The sequence below is a fragment of the Homo sapiens genome, chromosome 18 (genome assembly GCF_000001405.40).
Source record: "Homo sapiens chromosome 18, GRCh38.p14 Primary Assembly".
Lineage (NCBI taxonomy): Eukaryota > Metazoa > Chordata > Mammalia > Primates > Hominidae > Homo > Homo sapiens.
Window position 1 is genome coordinate 6,607,600 of NC_000018.10, and position 20,251 is coordinate 6,627,850.

General features: G+C 41.4%; 1 long non-coding RNA gene across 3 annotated transcripts in view; it reads right to left on the reverse strand.

Annotated features, from left to right (window-relative positions):
* Positions 1-20,251, reverse strand: part of LOC107985176 (uncharacterized) — a 78,185-nt gene that overhangs the window by 38,621 nt on the left and 19,313 nt on the right. The window contains exon 3 of one of the 3 annotated variants that reach the window (XR_001753340.2): positions 12,619-12,832. The exons of 1 other annotated variant lie outside the window; for it this stretch is intronic. This is a non-coding gene — a long non-coding RNA (uncharacterized LOC107985176). Of the gene's footprint in view, positions 1-12,618; positions 12,833-18,049; positions 19,769-20,251 lie in introns of those variants that run through there. One more of the 3 variants, XR_001753339.2, reaches the window with a different exon arrangement.

Below are 20,251 nucleotides of genomic sequence, written 5' to 3' on the forward strand. Positions count from 1 at the left end.
AGAAACTGAAGGCCTCCCTGGAACTCTTGAACTCTGTCGGCATCTCCTGAGTGGCACTGAGCCCATTCTGCTTTGTTATTTGAATTATTTGTTGAGTTGATAAATTCTTGTCTTATCCCACCCCAGCTTGTGGGTATGGTACCCCTTGCTGAACAACTACTTATTAACTTTTTTCCTTATGCCAGTCCCTCTACTGGGCTAGTGACAGAGGAATGAGAAATAGTCCTTGTCCTGAAGATATTCCAGTTGATGAAACAGATGCTATAAGCCAGCAAACAATACAATATGATGGCAATTGGGGTGAGTATGAAGTGCTTAGAATCACGGAGGAGGACGAGAATAATTGTTCATTGAATTTCATGGAAGCTTGAGCAATGATGGGAGGTTGCTGTCCCACTGGGTGTGTAACGATGACTTTCCTGGGATAACAGGCAGGCCAACTATGCCTTAATTTGAATGCTAGGTATATCATAGATCAGTCAGAGTTCTCCAGAGAAACAGAACCAATAAGGTATCTACTGAGAGATTTATTATAAGGTATTTGCTCACACAATTATTGAGGCTGAGAAGTCCCACGATTGGCAAGCTGGAGACCCAGAAAAGCTGGTGGGGTAGGCCTGAGGAGGTTGAAGGCCTGAGAGCCAGAGAGCCAATGGTGTAGATTCTAGTCTGGCCTAAAGGACTGAGAACCAGGAGTACCGAGGGTAAGAGATCAGTGTCCCAGCTCGAGCAGTCAGGCAGCATGAACTCACCTGCTCCACCTTTTTGCTCTGTTCTGGCCCTCAGTGGATTAGATCATGCCCACACACACTGGCAAAGACAATTCATTTCCTTGATCTACCCATTCAGATGCTAATTTCTTCTGGAAACAGCCCCACAGACACAACCAGAAATAATGTTTAACCAAATATCTGGCCATCTCATGATCCACTCAACTTGACACATAAAATTAGCCATCTTACTAGGAAAGCTCAAGTTTTTACCTTAACATTGCCACTGTGTGATATTAAAATAACATACAGTGGCGAACAGGCTTGAAGAAATCCCCTCGCACATGAAGCCAGTTAGACCTGGAAAGTGACCTTAACCTTGCTTGATTTGCAAACACAATTACAACTTAACATGGGCTATTTCTTATAACGCCCATCTCAGAGAAAAGTGAAACTGAAGCTCAACCAATTGGAAGCCACCAACTAACCTATAATTATCTAACTTGGGGTTTCCCAATGAGATAGACCAAACAAGGCAACTATACATATGTAATCAATCAAATACTTTCTTTGGCTTACTTCTGTGTTCACCCTATAAAAACCTTCTCCCTATTCCTTCAGTGGGGCCCTAACTACTTTATGTTTGGTGCTGCCTGATTCGTGAATCAATGTTTGCTCAAATAAACTCTTAAAAATTTTATTGTGACTCACTTTATCTTTTAACAGTGACCTTGCATTACATTCAACGTCTCGCCTCTGCTCTCTTCCATAATGGAAGCACTGGACACAGTAATCCTCTGATCCCTCCTAGCTAAAAATGTTATGCTTTCATCAAACATTTGTATTTGTCTGATATGTACAAATAATGTGGACAATTGTGCGGCTGTAGTGGGTGCCTCTGCTCTGAAAGGGTCACAGGTCTTGCTGTAAGATAGGAACTGCACTGAACACTTTGCTTACATGAAACACCTTTAATTCTCGAAGGATCCTACAGGAAAGGCACTGTTACTATAATCTTCTATTTTCAAATGAAGACAGGAGACCTGAAAAGGTCAGCTCACTTGCCCAAGGTCACACAGCCACGGAGGAGCAGAGCTGAGAACAGAGCCCGTCGGCCCTGAGGCCTGTTATTGACCATTACTTTATATGGCTTCCCCAGGTTCACCGTAACTAACCATGGATGGGCACTGTTAGTCCCCTGCAAAGATGTGGCCCAATAGGAAGCTTCACTCTAAAACACCCATAAGGAGAAAGTAGGAAGACTATTAGCTGATAGGGTTGCCTGGAAATATTTTATAGGAGCTGGAATAAAACCTAAAGAAAATATGGAATCAGAGATAAAAAGAGTGTTGGAGTGCATGAAGTAGAAATACCAGGAGAGAGAACTGGTGGAGCAGGCCTAGAACTGAAATATGGCTTCAGATCTCAATTTGAAAGTGCCAACTTGGTGGCTATGGGACATTAGTTTCAGGAATGGGATAGCAACCTGCACCCGGCTGTCTCAAATGTTGGAGTGACTAGAGGAGGGGAATCCATCTGGGCTGCAGCAGGGAAATGAGGCCCCCGCATTGTAAAGAGAGCATTCCAGAAAGGGCAGGCTCAGCAGAGCTAAGACGACCCCATTTTCTACTGACTTTTAAAAAGCGCTTAAGAAGCTTTCCCTTTCCCAGTGATAAGTGACAAAATCAAGCCTGATGCCTGAGTCTGTGTGATTCCAAAACCCACATTCTCTTTCAAGCACAAGGGCAGCAGAGATTTGTCAGTTTTCGCCGATTTGACAATTTTGATGCAGCCATGTTAGAGCATACCACAAGGAACTTGGAAGCTTATGGCATTTATTTTCAAATATTCAGCAAGCTCTTCTATTTCTGTAGACTGTATTCATTTTAAAAGTCATGTGGATGATCATGGAGTTATTTTGCTATGTGTGTACAATAAGACTTGCAATCGTGACTACTTAGGAGAGCAATACAGTCCTATGAGCTGACAGTGAGCCTGAAGGAGACTCAAATCTTACACCAGCTTAAGAATTTTTATCAGAGACAGCAAACTAAATTCAGCTATTTTAGCAGCACAGTGTTCATTAATGCTCACCAAAAAGTACAGAACAAATTCTTGGAGGAAAATATTGGTGTTTCATTTTGTCAGAGTCCAAACATAGCATGAAGTTTCAGCACAAAGCTTGGTGACACTGACATCCTTTGCATCGTAAATCGCAGAGACAGGTCCTGGCACATCCTTCCCAATAAGGAAGTCCTGGGTCCAGGCTGTCTTCCAACATTAATGAGGCTTGTCACCACATAGCCGCAGGAGAAAAAAGCAGATGTTGTATCTGGTGGGAATTGAGAGAAGGCATCCACCATCAGGACATGTGGAACACCAAGATCATTGTGCTTCTCTTCTGAAATGGTCTCAATCCTTCAGGAAAGAAAAACAATCTTACTGCACCATCTGGAAACAATCTTTGGCAAGCCAAAGGGACTAAGTCTAAGTAGAACTTCTTAACCTTGGCTGCACCTCAGAATAACTTGAGAAGCTTTAAAAACTACCAATGCCTGAGTTTCACCCCTAGGTCCTCAGTTATCTGTCAGGTGTGACTGTGAAGTTGCACTCAGAAGCTCCATGTGTAATTGAGCACTGGGGAAGTCACTGTCAAATTTTTCAGGGAAGAGCTTTGTGGAAATTCACCAGTCTGAGACACAAATGAAAGTATTGGTGTCTGGGTGAAGTGATCTGCCTGGACCCCTTCTGTCAATGCACATTGAGATCACAATCATGGTTAATGTCTTTAAAAAATGATGGACACAAGCAGCATTTTTTTTTTTGAGACAGAGTCTTGCTCTGTCATCCAGGCTGGAGTGCAATGGCACGATCTAGGCTCACTGAAACCTCCGCCTCCTAGATTCAAGCTATTCTCCTGCCTCAGCCTCCTGAGTAGCTGGGATTACAGGCATGTGCCACCATGCCCAGCTAATTTTGTATTTTTAGTAGAGACAGGATTTCACCATATTGGTCAGGCTAGTCTCAAACTCCTGACCTCAGGTGATTTGCCCGCCTTGGCCTCCCAAAGTGCTGGGATTACAGGCACGAGCCACCACGCCTAGCCACAAGCATCATTTTGAAGAGTTATTTCTTCCATTGAGCAAAGAAGAAATGAAAAGTACATGAAGGAAGAGGTCGTGTAGTTCGATGCAGTTCAAAGGAAACATTTGTTGAGCACTTGCTATGCAATAAAGCTGGGAAACAAACATTGACGACACTGCCTTGGTCTAAAGGGACTCAAGGTTTATAAAAGGTGACAGACATTGAAATTCAGAATGCCCATCTCATGCATAATGGAATCAAGGCTGACATGTGAAGATATGGGAGGCCAGAGCCCAGGCTTCCAGAAGGAGAAGTCCAAGCTAGGTCATGGAGGAGGAGCCAGCCAGGCAAAGGGTGTGGGAGGTGTGGAAAGTGTGCTCTGGGTGGCGGGAGAAAGAGCAGCAGTAGAAGAAGAGCTGGTGGATGTATTCACAAGTCTCAACACTTTCTCCAGGTCTGTCATGCACATGTTATTACTGGATTATCACTTGTGTGAAAAAATGATGCCCAGAAAACATGGGGACCAAGTTTGATATCCAGAGGCTCCCTCTCCTCGCTTCCTCCCACCATCTCCTGTGATCCTTCAAAGACTGCACCCTTGGGGCACATCTTTCCCTTCTCCCTCCCCTGGTGGTAGAGCTCAACAGTCCATGGTCAGTTCTGGGAGTGCAATGTACCTATCACGCTTCAGGGTTGCGTGCATCCTCACCAAGTCCATCTTGTGTTGGATTTTACAGCTTTCTCTCTACCTTTTCTACTGCCATGTAGAAGAGGCACTAACGTAGGCCAGATGGTTCTGGGCTGAGTTTCTCCTCCACCACTCATTACCTTGGTGATCTGGCATGCATTTCCTCACCTGTACATTTTGATGCCACAGTCTGACTCTTCCGAGATGGGAATCAACCTAAGCCGAGTGTTGGGGAGAGTTCTCTGTAATTCTAGCTTGCCTCTTGTTCCGTCCTCTTTGCTTCTCTCCAAGCCAGAGCTCGTTCTGAGACACCCCAGTCATTGCACAGATAAGGTCTTTTGGGTATAGTTTCTCCAGCTTCACCTTAAAAGTCCCACTGAAATACGTGCCAGGTAGTGCTGTTAGCCTTACTGGTAATCCGCTTGACTTGCGTTTGCAGAAATCACTCCAAATTCGACCATTCTCTACACGTGGTGGCCCTCCTCACATTCTTTAAGCTCTTCCAACTGAAGTGTGCCCTAGTGGGCACACCATGTACTATGGAGCTGCACGCATTCTTACTATTCCAACCCAAAGCAAACATCCCATTTTACAAGCCCTACCATGCAACTCCCCGGTTTCCCCATTCTTGCCTTTCCTCCCTTCCCTTTCCCTAGCATGAGAAGAAGTATGTATTATCTTCTCACACATACTTCTATCCCTGTCCCCATGCCTGCCTCCTTCTCCACAGAGAGCTATACCAAGACTGTCCTTCCCTTAGGATGGACATGCATGCTGGGCTCCTATCGCAGGCACATGGAGAAAGAGGCTCTAGGAGAGGCCTGCACAGAAGAAGACAAAAGAACTCCCCCAGTGCTTTCTCCATCCTTAGTTTTGGTACAATATCTGTTCCTCTTCCCAGCAGAAAAGATAAGGAACATCAAAGTAGACAAACTCAATCTCATAGCAATTGATTTTTGTTGAACTCACTTTATACTTGGTCTTATTATATCAACTATTAAAAGATGTTGCCATTTTATGTCAAAAGATCTAGTGACTTTTAGGCAATTATTTGGGCCTAGGTATTTCTTCTATAGTAAAGACTACAGCACATTCAATAGAGCAAATCAAAACAATCATAATACAATTTCACTTGTCAGCTACAAGGTCATCATCTTAATCTATATGCTTTTCACATACATAAATAATGACAAGAAAACATTAGGAGCAGGGTGGAGAGCAATAGATTTTAAGCGCTATCTTCAAGCAATTTTTCATAAGGAATATTCAATTAGATTTCCAAAGGAAATAAGAAAATAGAATTCTTGTTCTTCAAAACTAATGGCATTACACGATGGTTTACTTCTTAATGTTTTTCAAGATGCTTTATATCTCTCTTCTTAGGGAATATGCAAACTCCCCAAGAAGAAAAGGCATAGAGCAAAAAAGAGCTCTTATGGATGACTGCTTCAGTCAGATTTCATGATTTCCCAGGAGGCAATATTTGGTTGCAGGCTTCCTGTCCTCTACACAGCTCAAATTACTTTTCCATGTCCCTGAACCTCTAGTAGCACTAACTTATTGAACAAACCCCTTGACCTTTCACTTTCCTTGACTTTAGGCCTCCTTTGTTCTCACCCTCCCATGCCATTCTTCCCTACTCATGAGCTCCCATCAGAAGCACTTATCTCCCAATCAACATTTCTTGAGCATAATGAGGGCCATGACAGTGATGTCATTCTTTAGATACTTGGGGTACTCCCCTAAGCAGACCCTAAAACCACCATTCAAATGCAAGTAGTTCGTTTGGGAGGCAATCCCAGGCAACACAGTAGGGGAGTAGAGATGTAAAATAGGAAAGCAAAAGAACCAAAAAATAACATTCATTATCAAGCAAATTACCACTTTGAGTAACTGGAGCATAAATCCTTCTGTTGGAGTACTCCAGGAGCTACGTTACACAGTTGTTATACGTGAGGGATGAGGGAACTGGGGTATTTATATACCCAATTCTCACAAGCCATTCAACCATTTATTATTAATCCCCTAGCATTTCTAGATTACTGTGTGGAGATGACAAAGTGGATTCCTTTAGCTATTGAAGACCCTCAAGCAGAGAAGCTCAGGGGCCTGCAGATGGATATCTAGCAAGCATGCACTGAAACTGTAAGAACAGGGGCGTCTGGGCAGGACATTGCAGGATCTGCTGCTGCCACTGTAGTGCTTACTTGCATGAATGGGTTCCTCCAAATGCTTTGCTTAAGCCTAGCTAGTGATGGCAAATATATTTCATTTGGTGTGTCAATTTCAATTAGATTGCTAGTGGCTTGGCTGGGAAAGTTTCTAAGGTTTTGTTAAAGGTTAGCAGGAGAGAGGATCTATGGTTGATCAGAGATCTCTGTAAAAAGACAGTTGGATGAAGACTGGCAATATCTTGCCAGACATTTGTCATCCCGACTCTGGAATTACTCCTGAAAGTAGTGGGCAGAACCAAGTATGCTGAGGGTCTAAAGAAAAATGAAAATGCCAAAGGAGAAGTGGGTCAGTGATCAGGCCTGTCTTAGCCCATTTGAGTTGCTGCAGCAAGAATACCATGACCTGGGTGATTTATAAACAACACACATTTATTTCTTGTAGTTCTGGAGGCTGGGAAGTCCAAGATCCAGACACTGGCAGATTTGGTGTTTGATGAGGGCCTGTTCCTCATAGATGGCACTTTCTGGCTGTGTCTTCACATGGCACTAATCCCATTCACAAGGGCTCTGTCCGCATGACCTAATTACCTCCTAAAGGCTCTACCTCCTAATACTATCACAATGGAGGAGTGGGGGGAGGTTTCAATATATGAATTTTGGGAGGACACAAACATTCAGACTTCTGCTGAAAATAGAAAATACTCATAAATTATTGGAAGTATGAGACCAGATTAGGAGGAGTAGAACAACCGCAAGGACTCTGTTGACCCCCACCCCCAACCCCGCAAAGCAAAATCCCTGCTCTCCTTCAGAGAGGTCAGAGGGAGCTTTGTCTCTGTTCCCCTGTTATTACTCTGGCTGAGCTTCATCGTCTGGGCTTCTGAATACCAAGTCTGGGCAGAAGTGGGAAAGCTTGCCTGGGGGCAAAAGAAAATGAATCAGCCTGAGCAATAGAACATTTGACATGAAGACTGAATATTTCATGTGATTTTGAAAAGTTCAACCTAGGCTTTTCCGAGGTTGAATATTACTTAATGTGTTCATTTAAGCAATTTAGTGATCATCTGTTATAAGCCCCCAATTATTGCATGCTCTTGAAAAATAAAAAGATCAACAAGGCATCAAGACATAGTCCAGGCCCTCAAAAATCCCATAAGCTAGGGGGAAAAGGCAATACAAACTTTACCAAGAAGCCCAAGGAAGGGTAGTCTTTTTTTTTTTTTTTTTTTTTTTTTTTGAGACAGTCTTGTACTGTCGCCCGGGCTGGAGTGCAGTGGCGCCATCTCGGCTCACTGCAACCTCGCCTCCAGGGTTCAAGCAATTCTCCTGCCTCAGCCTCCCAAGTAGCTGGGATTACAGCTGCGTGCCACCATACCCAGCTAATTTTTTGTATTTTTAGTAGAGACAGGGCTTTGCCATGTTGGCCAGGCTGGTCTTGAACTCCTGACCTCATGATTCACCTGCCTCAGCTTCCCAAAGTGCTGGGATTACAGGCGTGAGCCACCATGCTCGGCCTGTGAAGGGGAGCCATTAAGGGCCCAGACTCTCTGGGCTTTAATCCTAAACCCACCACTTACTAGCTAGGTGACCTGGAGACATTTATTTCATCTCTTTGTGCCTCGGTGTCCTCCTTGGTTCCTCTCTCATGGGGTTGTTTTGGAAATTATATCTGTGAACATATGTAAAACTAGAATAGCCCCTGATATGTAGTCAAACTCAATACATTTTATCTTTTTCTTTTCCTATGAGACAATGGATTAGGAACATCTCATTTCCTAGCTGAAGGATCAGGGAGACTATGAAGAGTTACTGTGAGTAAAATAGGCCCTGGAAGACAAACAGATTTCACCAAATGAAAATGGGAGGAAGGCTCCTCTGGGCAAATAGCAGGCCATGTGCAAAGAGACAGAGGAGGGGAGGTAGGGATGTCCAGGGAGCAGCATCCCACTGACTGCCACATGTAGAAGGAGTGAGTCTCACACTTGCTTTTTCAGAGATGGAAAATAACCAAGATTTTCAGCAGGACAATGGACATGACCAAAACTGTACTTTTTTTTTTTTTTTTTTTTTTGAGACAGAGTTTCACCCTTCTTGGGCAGGCTGGTGTGCAATGGCACAATCTCAGCTCACCGCAACCTCCGCTTCCCAGGTTCAAGCAATTCCCCTGCCTCAGCCTTCCAAGTAGCTGGGATTACAGGCATGCACCACCACGCCCAGCTAAATTTGTATTTTTAGTAGAGACGGGGTTTCGCCATGTTGGTCAGGCATGTCTTGAACTTCTGACCTCAGGTGATCCACCTGCCTCAGCCTCCCAAAGTGCTGGGATTACAGGCGTGAGCCACCGCCCCCGGCCAAAACTGTATTTTTAAAATATGACTGTGGCGAAAGAATCCATGAGTATATATGAATTGCTATAAAATCCTCTCACCTGTTTCTTTCTTTCTAGGTTTATCAAAAAGTACGGAATCTAAAATGAAAGCATACTAACTCATACTTCCTAATTGAGTCAACTCAATCTGAATCCATGCCGCATCCATTCCATAATGTCTCTGACATGGCTGGGAGCCACTCTGGACCCCATATTTTTCTCTAGGCTGCAGCATGACATTCACCTGGGTGGATGGGGCAGAAGGCCACATACACGGATTCCACCCTCTCTTTGTCTGCGGACACGTGCAGAAAAATCAGCACTTTCATACACAAAGGTAGTGAATTAGTTTCAAATTGAGTAAGTACTAATAAGGCATCTAGCTGAGTGCTATGACATGTTAATAAAGCCCTGACACTCTTTTAGGTCGTGAAGTCAGGGATGACTTCTCTGAGGATGTAATTGCTAAGCCCAAGCTTGAAGGAAAAGAAGCCAACCATAGGAGGAGCCAGACAGGGGAAAGCACTTCAGCATGAGCAAAGGACCTCAAGGAAAACACCAGAAAACAGGCCGATGTGGCTGGAGTGAAATGAGGGCAAAGCCCTGCGGTTTTCTTCTCTGCTTGTTTACATGTTACAGAGAATGAGAATATTCTCTGCATTGTTCATTTCTCTGCTGAAAATAGAAAATACTCATGATTTCATGGAAGTATGAGACCAGATTAGGAGGAGCAGAACAATGGCACAAGGTCGTGGGCAATTCTAAAATAGAGTGGAGAGCCCGGCCCAACCCAAGGCCAAGGCTATCCTTCAAAAGCATGAAGGGTCTGAACATAAACAAACTGAGCATCGATCACTCGGGCCTATTTTGGAGCGTGGCTCCCTCTTCCTAGGAGGACCTCCACCCCATCATTCAGCATAGATTAAGACACCAGAAGAGAAATATCCCTGAGAAATTACCCCCTAGATCTCTGCTCACATTAGTGTGGAATCTTCTGACCTCAGGACCAGAAAAGGCCATAGGCAAACTTCTAGGGGTCACTTATCATTAGGAACAACCACAATAAAATCATTTCAGAGAAATGAGTTGTCTTAACCACCAGAGAAGAGAGTAGGGGAATACGAACAGACTTCCATCCACCCTTTCAGGCTCTTTGGCTAGGCTATGAAGTAAGTTAACATAAGGCAAATAAACAAGAGGAAAAAGACAATTTTAATTACATATCCCTGCTCAGGAGACCCAAAAAATATGAGACTCAAAGAAGGGTCAGATGATTGAAGCTTATATTGCATCCTGAGCTATTGAAAAGAACAGGAGTTTGAGGCTCCTCCTGGTTGTTGGGGGGCAGGGGTAGGGGTGACAAACTATGGGGAAGTTATAGGGGGGTAAGGGGAGGAGTTGTATAGTGATTAAGGTTGTCCTGTTATTCAGATAAAAAAAACCTTAGGTAATAAAAGTCATCTCAGAGCAGCCTTTGGAAGAATAGGTGACTGCCTGGGCATGCTGTCAACCTCTGGCCAAGCTTAGGCTTCTTTAGCATCTATTATCAGCTTTGGGAAATGTCCTCTCACTCCTTCTCATGCTGCTGATCAGACTGGTAATCAGGGAAAAGGTGGGGACTAACATTGGTTGGGCATCTACTACTGTGCCAAGGACTTTACTTATATTATTTCATTGATACCTTATAGCACATTTATTAATTTAATTTTATTTTATGGCTAAAGAAACTCAAGTTCATAGAGCGTTAGTAACTTGCCGAAGCACTCACAACTGATAAGAAGCAGAGTCAAAACTGGATCCAGATCTGTGTAACCCGCCAAGTCAAGCTCTTTCTAAAAATGTGCACAGGTTTTCTGCCAATTTAAAAACATGCTGTTGGAACTAATAACAAACTCAGTAAAGTTGCAGGATACAAAATCAACATTTTTCACAGAAACAGAAGAACAATCCTAAAATTTGTATGGAACCACAAAAGACCCCAAATAGCCAAAGCAATCCTTAACAAAAAGAACAAACCTGGAAGCATCATATTACATGTATTGAAAATATGCTACAAAGCTATGTTAGCCAAAACAGCATGGTGATGGCATAAGAACAGACACATAAACTAATGGGACAGAATAGAGAGCCCAGAAATAAATCCACATACTCATGGCCAATTGGTTTTTGATGAAGATGGCAATAAGAACACAAAATTGGGCAAAAGACAGTCTCTTCAACAAATATTCCTGAGAAAACTGGATATTCACATGCAGAAGAGTGAAATTAGATTCTAATCTCACACCATATACAAAAATCAATTCAAAGTGAATTAAAGAGTTAAATGTAAGACATGAAACTGTAAAACTACTAGAAGAAAACATAAGGGGAAAGCTCCATGACATTGGTCTAGGCAAAGATTTTTTGGATATGATACCAGAAGCACAGGCAACAAAGGCAAAAATAGACAAATAGGACCAAATCAAACTAGAAAGCTTCCATACAGCAAAGGAAACCATCAACAGAGTGAAGAGATAACCCATAGAATGGGAAAATACATTTGCAAACCATGCATCTGATAAGGGACTAATATCCAAAACATATAAGGAACTCAGACAACTCAATAGTAAGAAGACAAATAACATGATATTAAAATAGACAAAGAGCCTAAATAGACATTTCTCAAAAAAAGACATGCAAATGGCCAACAGGTATATGAAAAAGCTGCTCAACATCACTAATGAACAGAAAAATGCAAATTATAAACCACAATGAGGGCTGGGCACAGTGGCTAACACCTGTAATCCCAGCACTTTGGGGCACTTTGGGAGGCCAAGGCCAGTGGATCACGAGGTCAGGAGATTGAGACCAGCCTGGTCAACATAGTGAAACTCCGTCTCTACTAAAATACAAAAAAGTAGCCGGGTGTGGTGGTGCACGCCTGTAGTCTCAGCTACTCAAAAGGCTGAGGCAGGGGAATCGCTTGAACCTGGGAAGCAGAGGTTGCAGTGAGCCGAGATCGTGCCACTGTACTCCAGCCTGGCAACAGAGCGAGACTCCATCTCAAAAAAAAAAAGAAAGAAACAACAACAATGACAACAACAAAAACCGCAATGAGATGTTACCTCACATCTGTCAGAATGGCTGTTATCAAATAGATGGAAGGTGACAAATGTTGGAGAGAATGTGGAGGAAAAGGAAACTTGTACACTGTTGGTGAAAACGTAAATTAGTAGAGCATTATGGAAAACTGCATGGAAGTTCCTCAAAAAAGTAAAAATAGAATTACCATACTATCCAGCAATCCACCTGCTTGGGTATTTATCCAAAGGAAAGGAAATCAGTATATCAAAGAGATGCCTGCACTCCCACATTCATCGCAGCACTATTTACAATAGCCCGGATATGGAATTAACTTAAGTGCCCATCAGTGGACAAATGGATAAAGAAAATGTGCTGTACATACACAATGGAATACTATTCAACCATCAAAAAGAAAGAAATTTTGTCATTTGTGACAACATGGATAAACCTGGAGGATATCATATTAAGTAAAATAAGCCAGGCACAAAAAGACAAATACCACATAACCCAACTTATATATGGAGTATAAAAAAGTCAATCTCATAGGAAGAGAGGACAAAATGGTGGTTACCAGAGGTTTGGGGTGGGGAGGTTGGGAGATGTTGATCTAACGACACAAAATTTCAGGTAGGCAGGAGGAATAAGTTCAAGAGATCTATTGCACCTCATTTGACTGCAAAAAATAAGAACACATTATGTAATGTTACCTTGAAAATTTCTGAAGAGAAGACATTAAGTTTTCTTACTGCAAAAAAAAAAAAATGGTAAGTTTCTGAGGTAATGCTTATATCCAATGGCTTGAGTTAACCCTTCCACAATGTGTACATCTACCAAAATGTCATGTTGTACTCCATAAATATATATATATAATTTTTACTTGTTAATTGAAAAATAATATAGAATAAAAGAAAAACACAGTGGTAAGAACATAAACTGTGGAGCCAGGCAGCATAAGTTTGGTTCCCTACTCTGTCATCTATTAGCTGAATAGACTTGGGCAAATAACTCAGCCTTCTGTGTCTCAGAGGTGTTATCTATGTGTATCGATATAAGGCTGTAAATAGGGCCTTCCTTAAATAGGGTGGGGATAAAATGAATTAGCTAATATTGTAAAGCACTTAAACTACTGCCAAACACATAGTAGGTGATCAATAAATACAAGCTGTTTGTAATTTCTAGTAACTTATGAAAGAAAAACAGTAGTTACCATAGAAGGATTCCATGGTTTTATTTTCACAAGCATTTCTGTATCAGCTGTCTAGTGTAGCTAACAAAGAATTTTTTGCTTTCTACCTTAAAGTCACAATGTCTTTTTTTAATGCCACAAATATTATTAATCAAAATTTGCCTCACCACTTAATTTCCAATAATAGAATAGTTAAGAAAAAGCTGTAGCTACTTAATGCTATATTACGTATTTTTAAATGATAACATGAGGACTATGTATCCAAATGGAACCATACTTTCAACATAATAAGTGAAAAAAGGAGAAGTGTAAAATTATGCAAATACTATGATGACATGTATATGAAAAAAATAGACTGGAAGGAAAAGACCAAAATTATAACAGTCTTTATATTAGTAACTTGAAGTTATTAATATTTCCCTTATTTTCCAACATTTATTGTTATGTGACGTAGCTACATCATAATAAAATAATGCACCATCCCAATGCATTTCTTACTTCACATTAGAACAAACAAAACACCCATCTATAATCTGTTATAACAACTTTAACGTTCCATGTATGCGAGAGGGTGAGTTTTGTATAAAATAAAAGGCTAAGCATGTTCAAGAATATCACAAAAGATGAACAAAAACCTTTAGAAAGAATAAGAATCTAAGTCCTTCCATTAAAAAAAATACATTTTCCTTAACAGCTAAAATTGGCAGTCTGTGCTAAGAAAACACTAGAGAAGCCAGGAGGAAACCTGAGGCTGCTTACAGTTCCACTGTGGAAGCGCTTCTGACAGATGGAGGCTTCCTTTCCCCCTCTATTTCAGGCCTGCAGGAACTCTGACCAAATCAGGGCCAAGGTGCCAATGTGAACCTCAGCCTGCTCCTTCCCGTGGCTGGGTCCCGTGACTCTATGACTCTACTTGATCCTTACACTGAACAGGGCCCCAGCTGGTCCCAAGATCTCTGTGGTCTCTCACTCCAGCTATTCTTGCCTCATCCATGTCATGCCTTCTGCCCTCCCCATCCTTCCATCTCCTCCTCTGTCTTCCTGTCTTTGGACATCAGTAGGTCAGTTCATGGGTGTCACTGGACATAGACAAAAATGGCCACCTGCCATTGCTGGGCCAACCAGTTGCAGAGGGACTGAAGGCACTTTGGGGTGGCCAGTCGTTATTCAGCGTGGCAGCAGGGCAGCCAGAAGCTCGGACACCTGCTTGTCTGATTTGAATTCACAGCTTCACCATTTATGAGCAGGCTGACTTTAGACATGCCAATTCAACTCGTGAAGCCTCCATTTCTCCATCTGGAAAGCTGGGATGATCATGACAATATCTACTGCATCGTGTTCCTGTGAGGAATCAATAAACTACTATATGAAGTATTGGCATGGTCATTGCTCAATGGAAGCTTTTAATGGAAACTTCAGCTCAAGCTTCACCCTTGAGATATTAGTCTCTGCAAGTCTTTTCTGAATCCTTCCGTAGCCTTTGAGCCAGTTCCTTTCCTCCTACTCATCCTCCTCTTCCACTGAACAGTATGTGACTCTATAATGGCAGGAAAAAAAGAGAGCCTGATAAACTTCTCTATTTTCATATCTAGAGAACGACACAGCCTTTACCAGGAGCATGGTGAGAACCACCATTCAGTCCTGTCTCAGCCTGAGTCTTTATTTTCATCCAAAGTGATTAGGCAATTTGTACAAAGTCTTTGCTACAAGTGGTGTATCAGAAATACAAACCATATTTGTCAATAACACCAAAGTCCACATATATTCCACATATTTATGTTAATAAATTTTTTTGTTTCCTTTTCTTTTTAAGAGGATTGATTGAAGCTTCAAGGAATGAATGAAGCATCAGCAGGAGAGGAACTAGGGTCACAGGCTGCCCCCTAAATCCTGGTACCTCTCAAATCACACCACCTAAGAGAACTTTGAGACACAGAGGGGCAGAGTGTCCTGTCATCCTTTGTCCCCTGTGCAGCCCTGCACCTCCGTGTGGGAGGGCGGGAGCAGCCACAGAGGAAAGCCCAGGCACCTCTTGGCCACCTTGCTTAATGCAAATAAAATTTCTGCGGAAATCTAGTATAAATCTTTGTAAATTGGATCGTACTTTCAATTGACATTTAATTTCAACACTGTGTTCCATGAAGAGAAAATAAATTGGCCCTGAGATCACAAAGGAACTCAGTAAACCATTTGCAATTGTACATTTAGCCAAAAAGTATTAGAAAATGTTTTAACACATCCAATTAAGTAAAATAATGATAAAAATACAGCAGAGCAGAGACCACCAGAAACTGTACATGAAAAGGAGTAAGATCTCATTTCACTGGAACAGCTCCTGGGATTTGAGGGCGTAGATTTTTTCTTTTAATGAAAATTACTCTCAAGGTTCTATTCTTTGAACAACTCTTCTCTCCCCACAGTTCTCAGTGGATCTCTATCACCCATCAGCCTCTAGAAACATCAGCTCCTCCAGCATCAAACTCTTTTCCCTCCTTTGTGATCACAACTTTTTTTTAAAAGAGTTATTTAACCTGCCACCCATTAATAAATAAGTATAACTAAAGACGTGCATTTAGCCATGCTGATTTAAGTCAGTGTCACTGAAATATTTTTGCCGAAGTCATCAGAAAAGCATCTCTAAGCAAACCTCCTGAACATTATTATCATCCTTGCAGCCTGTGTTCTATTACAGAAAGTGGGAATTCTGCATTCCACCTGAATATATAACCATTGTGCTTTTTATTACAGAAACATTTTAAGTTACAAGTTATATTGCTTTAATTTCTCCCCCACCCTCCCACATTTTTGAGGAAAATTGATGCCATTTATCCTGTGGACTGCTTCATATCCCAGAGGTCATGTAACCAAATTTGAGAAGCACACACTACAGAAACCAAAACAGGACAATAGGCAGACAGCTCAGCCTCAGGAATGTTAAGCACAGAGGATCCTATCCTTCCATCTATGTTCTAACAATCCATTGGAAAGTGGAGACATTATTATTATTATTATTATTATTATTATTATTATTATTATTTGAGACAGTTTCGCTATTGTTGCCCAGGCTGGAGTGCAATGGCATGATCTCAGCTCACCACAACCTCCACCTCCCAGGTTCAAAACGATTCTCCTGCCTCAGCCTCCCGAGTAGCTGGGACTACAAGCATGTGCCACCAAGCCCAGCTAATTTTTTTGTATTTTTAGTAGAGATGGGGTTTCTCCACGTTAGTCAGGCTGCTCTCGAACTCCTGACCTCAGGTGATCCATCCGCCTCGGCCTCCCAAAGTGCTGGGATTACGGGTGTGAGCCACCGTGCCCGGCCAGTGGAGACTTATTTTGAAGGGGGTAAATTTAAAGCAACATTCTTTAGATGTGCCATCTGCAATAGCATCAGGTATAAAGGCGTAGGTCCTGAAGTGGCTGTGCCCACAGTGACAACACAGGGGAGGAGCAGTGTCCCTGCTCCACGAGAAGATCATAGGAATGTCACCAGGACAGAAGTGCTGAGGAAGGTATCTCATTTCGTCTACATTAGCCTGCTAGGGGCTCAAAGCAAAGAATGAGCAATATGTAAATGAGGACAAGGAATGATTAATCCTCAAAGTTCGACTGCCTTTTTCCAACAGTTGCCTCATTTCTTGGATATTTGCCCATTAGGCCTCTGTCTTTTTTTTTTTTTTTTTTAGGGTTTTCCATCTTCTCTCCTTCATCTCTCCCTTTTCTGTGGGAGCTCTTGCCATGCTAGCCAAACACACAGAAAACGTGCTGGAGAAGGAGAAGGTTATGTCCTTCTAAAAGGATCCATGAATGTGTCTCTTTTTGAATTTCAAATACTGCAGCTAGATTTGCAAACCTTTTCAAAGTCATCGAGTTCTATTGGCAATAATATTTGATCATCATGTGGTAAACACCCACTAGGAGCAAATGTTATCAACCGAATGGAATTCTAGCCACTATGATATTTCAGCTCTGACGAATAAAGAGGTGGGGGAAGGCAGAGCAGGGAAGAGTTCTTTGGGGTCAGTAATTACATGATAAGCCTGGGAAAAGGCTTACTCACATCTAAGAATCATTAAAGGGAGAGCTATAGTTTTGGCCAAGAGATATAAAGATTTGAAAAAAGATATTAAGTTGAAATCCTTTACTTAAAATGAAATAAACTGTACTTGACATTTGGAAACTGCTGCTCCAGCAAAGATAAAGGCACTAAGGTTTCCAAATGGAAGGTTGAGATAGAATGTGGAGGCTTCCTGAGATTCTGAAGTATAATTTAGAAACTAGAAGCAAAAACTCAGATTCTTGGAAGATGTTCAGTAAAGGAAATATTTTTCTTGGCACGATGTGCTTCATTTTTCTTAGAGAAAAATTAGAAAAAAAGAACAGGCCGAGGAGGGCCAGTTTGCATAAATGGGGCAGAGGCTGTAATAAAAAATAAACAGTGCAAACTCATTTCTTTTGGGCTCAACAAAGCAGGAGACAGCAAACAAATAAAAATGAAGAAAAGTAATTTGATCAGAAAATATTTGTTTATTTTAAATCAAAAGCTATATGAATATTTTTTAGATATTAAAAAAATTATTTTTTTTAGATTCAGGGGGCATATGTGCATGTCTGTCACATGAGTGTATTGCATTGGTGGGGATTAGGCTTGTTATAATATCTGTTACTCAAATAATGAATATTGTATCCAAGAGGTAATTTATCAGCCTTCGCCCTCCCACCCAACTTCCTCCCTTTGGAGTCCCAGTGTCTGTTATTTCCATCTTTATGTCCATGTGTACCGGTTATTTAGCTCCCACTTTCCAGTGAGAACACGTGGTATTTGGTTTTCTGTTTCTGACTGAGTTAGTGCACTTAGGCTGATGTTCTCCAACTCCATCCATGTTTCTGCAGAGGATATGACTTCAGTTCTTTTTTATGGCCACAAAAAGCTGTCTGAATTCTAATCAAAGGAATTATGAGAAGGCTTAAATGTAGAGTGACCAGCAGCAGCAGTAGCATGTACACAGTATTGAACCTGGTAAGACACCCAAATCCTAATCTCCCCAAATCCTGAAATGGAGAATAGAAAGTGTTTAACTGGAGAGAGACAGAACCCATATCTAAATCAGCAAAAGGGCTCTGAGAAACTCATCAGCCTCGAAATCCTCCATCTCTGATTTATGGGATGATCTTCACCACGGGCTCTCTGGATGGAGATGGTGGATGGGAATCATGTGTGACATGTCTGCTTGCCTGCATTTAAACACAAGTATCCCAGTGTTCCTAGACAGACACTCTGTTTCTGCAATCTCTAGCATTGTTTTGGTTTGGTTTGGTTTGGTTTTAGCATGAAAATGTGTACTAAATCATGGCCGGCTGTTTCTCCTTCACGTTTTCAATTTACACATAATTGGGAACCTGTTGGTCAGGTTTGGGCCAGAACAGGCCTCTAGAACAAAATTGTAAAACTAACAGTGGAAATTAACAATAGAAACTCTGCGAGAAATTCAACTCCAGTATTCAGAACCACCAGTTCTGGTAACACTTGCAAACAGTTTCAAGATATAGTCTTGTTTTTAAAATCTTTTTATTTGACTTGAGACTGAATTTTCACAGACTCCTTATGAAACTGCAAAATGAAATGATATCAAAGAGCAGAATTGTAGATATCATAGGGTGTTGAGTTTTCTCAGACAAACCTCTCTCTTCGGCCTAAATTTGAATCCCAACATGCTTATTACTTTAATTCGGGAGTTTCCAAATTCCAGTGACTCTCTGAGCCACACTTAAACCACCGCACCCTTCTGAGGAGATTGGAGAGCGATGTCTGACTCCAACATCAATCCAGCCTCTCCTTTCCCTGCTTAGTAAACATGCTTTTGATGTTACTAAACACATAGCCATCAAGAAAAGCACCATGTAACAAGGTACCTGATGTCTATCTTTCCAGACGGATATATGAAACTTTAATTATCTAGAGTCTCAGTAACAAGAAAGTTCAAATAACTGAGTATTTTTCTGTTTACAGAGTAAAAAGCCAAGGGTGACAAAACACAAGAACTTGAGTTGTCTTCAAGAGAACATTTCTAGTTTATGTTTCAGACTCTGCAAACATTCAGGTCATCTCCCAGGTCTTCTGTGTAGATACGGGTTTCAATTCTCACTCACCTATATTTCCTTGTGTGGTGTTGAATAGTAAATGGAAGCACGTATATTGAGTTTTCACGGCTATTAGACCCCAGCAAAAAACCGTGTGTTTTCCCAAATGCTTTCTCAGTTGCCACTCTCAAACAACTCGGAGGCAGGTACCATCGTCACGGTGTCAAACTCCAGATAGCTTCTCCCTGGGTCATTGTTCTTTACCATGGGCGCCTCTACCTCTCAAGTAACATGCGCTTTGAGCCGCCAATAAAATGAGGATATGGACCACATCAAAGTTTCTCATTCAATCTTTCTTTGGACAAATGTAAAAACATCAGTATCATCTCCCACATATCTCTTGAGCTACATTGTCTGAAATGTATATGAAAATTATATAAAATTATACATTGATGTATCCAATGGTAGAAAAGAAAAAAGATATTCAATGTAAAGCAAATTCGATATTATAATTTTATATTTAAAAAATAAAAATCATACCCATTATGATCGTACCCTGAGTCCCCAGAAAAGAGACAAGCAGTCTTCAACCAGCCAAAAAACAAACAAAAAAGAAATAAAAACAAAAGAAAAAAAGGGAAAACAAATTTGCAATAAAGTAGAAGGCATTTACAGATCCCCTCTTGTCAAAACATTCAAGTACTCATTTCTGTGGGAATATATCAGCTAGTAACCCCTCCAATTCCTACAGATTCCCTTGTGAAGCATTTGAGGTCAAATACTCATATGACAATTTAGAAGTATGTTGCCCTAAGATTTTTCACCCTGACTCATTGATTTGAGAGTTGGGACTCCAGTAACAAGAAACATAATGTCAGCAGATATTCCAATGGACCT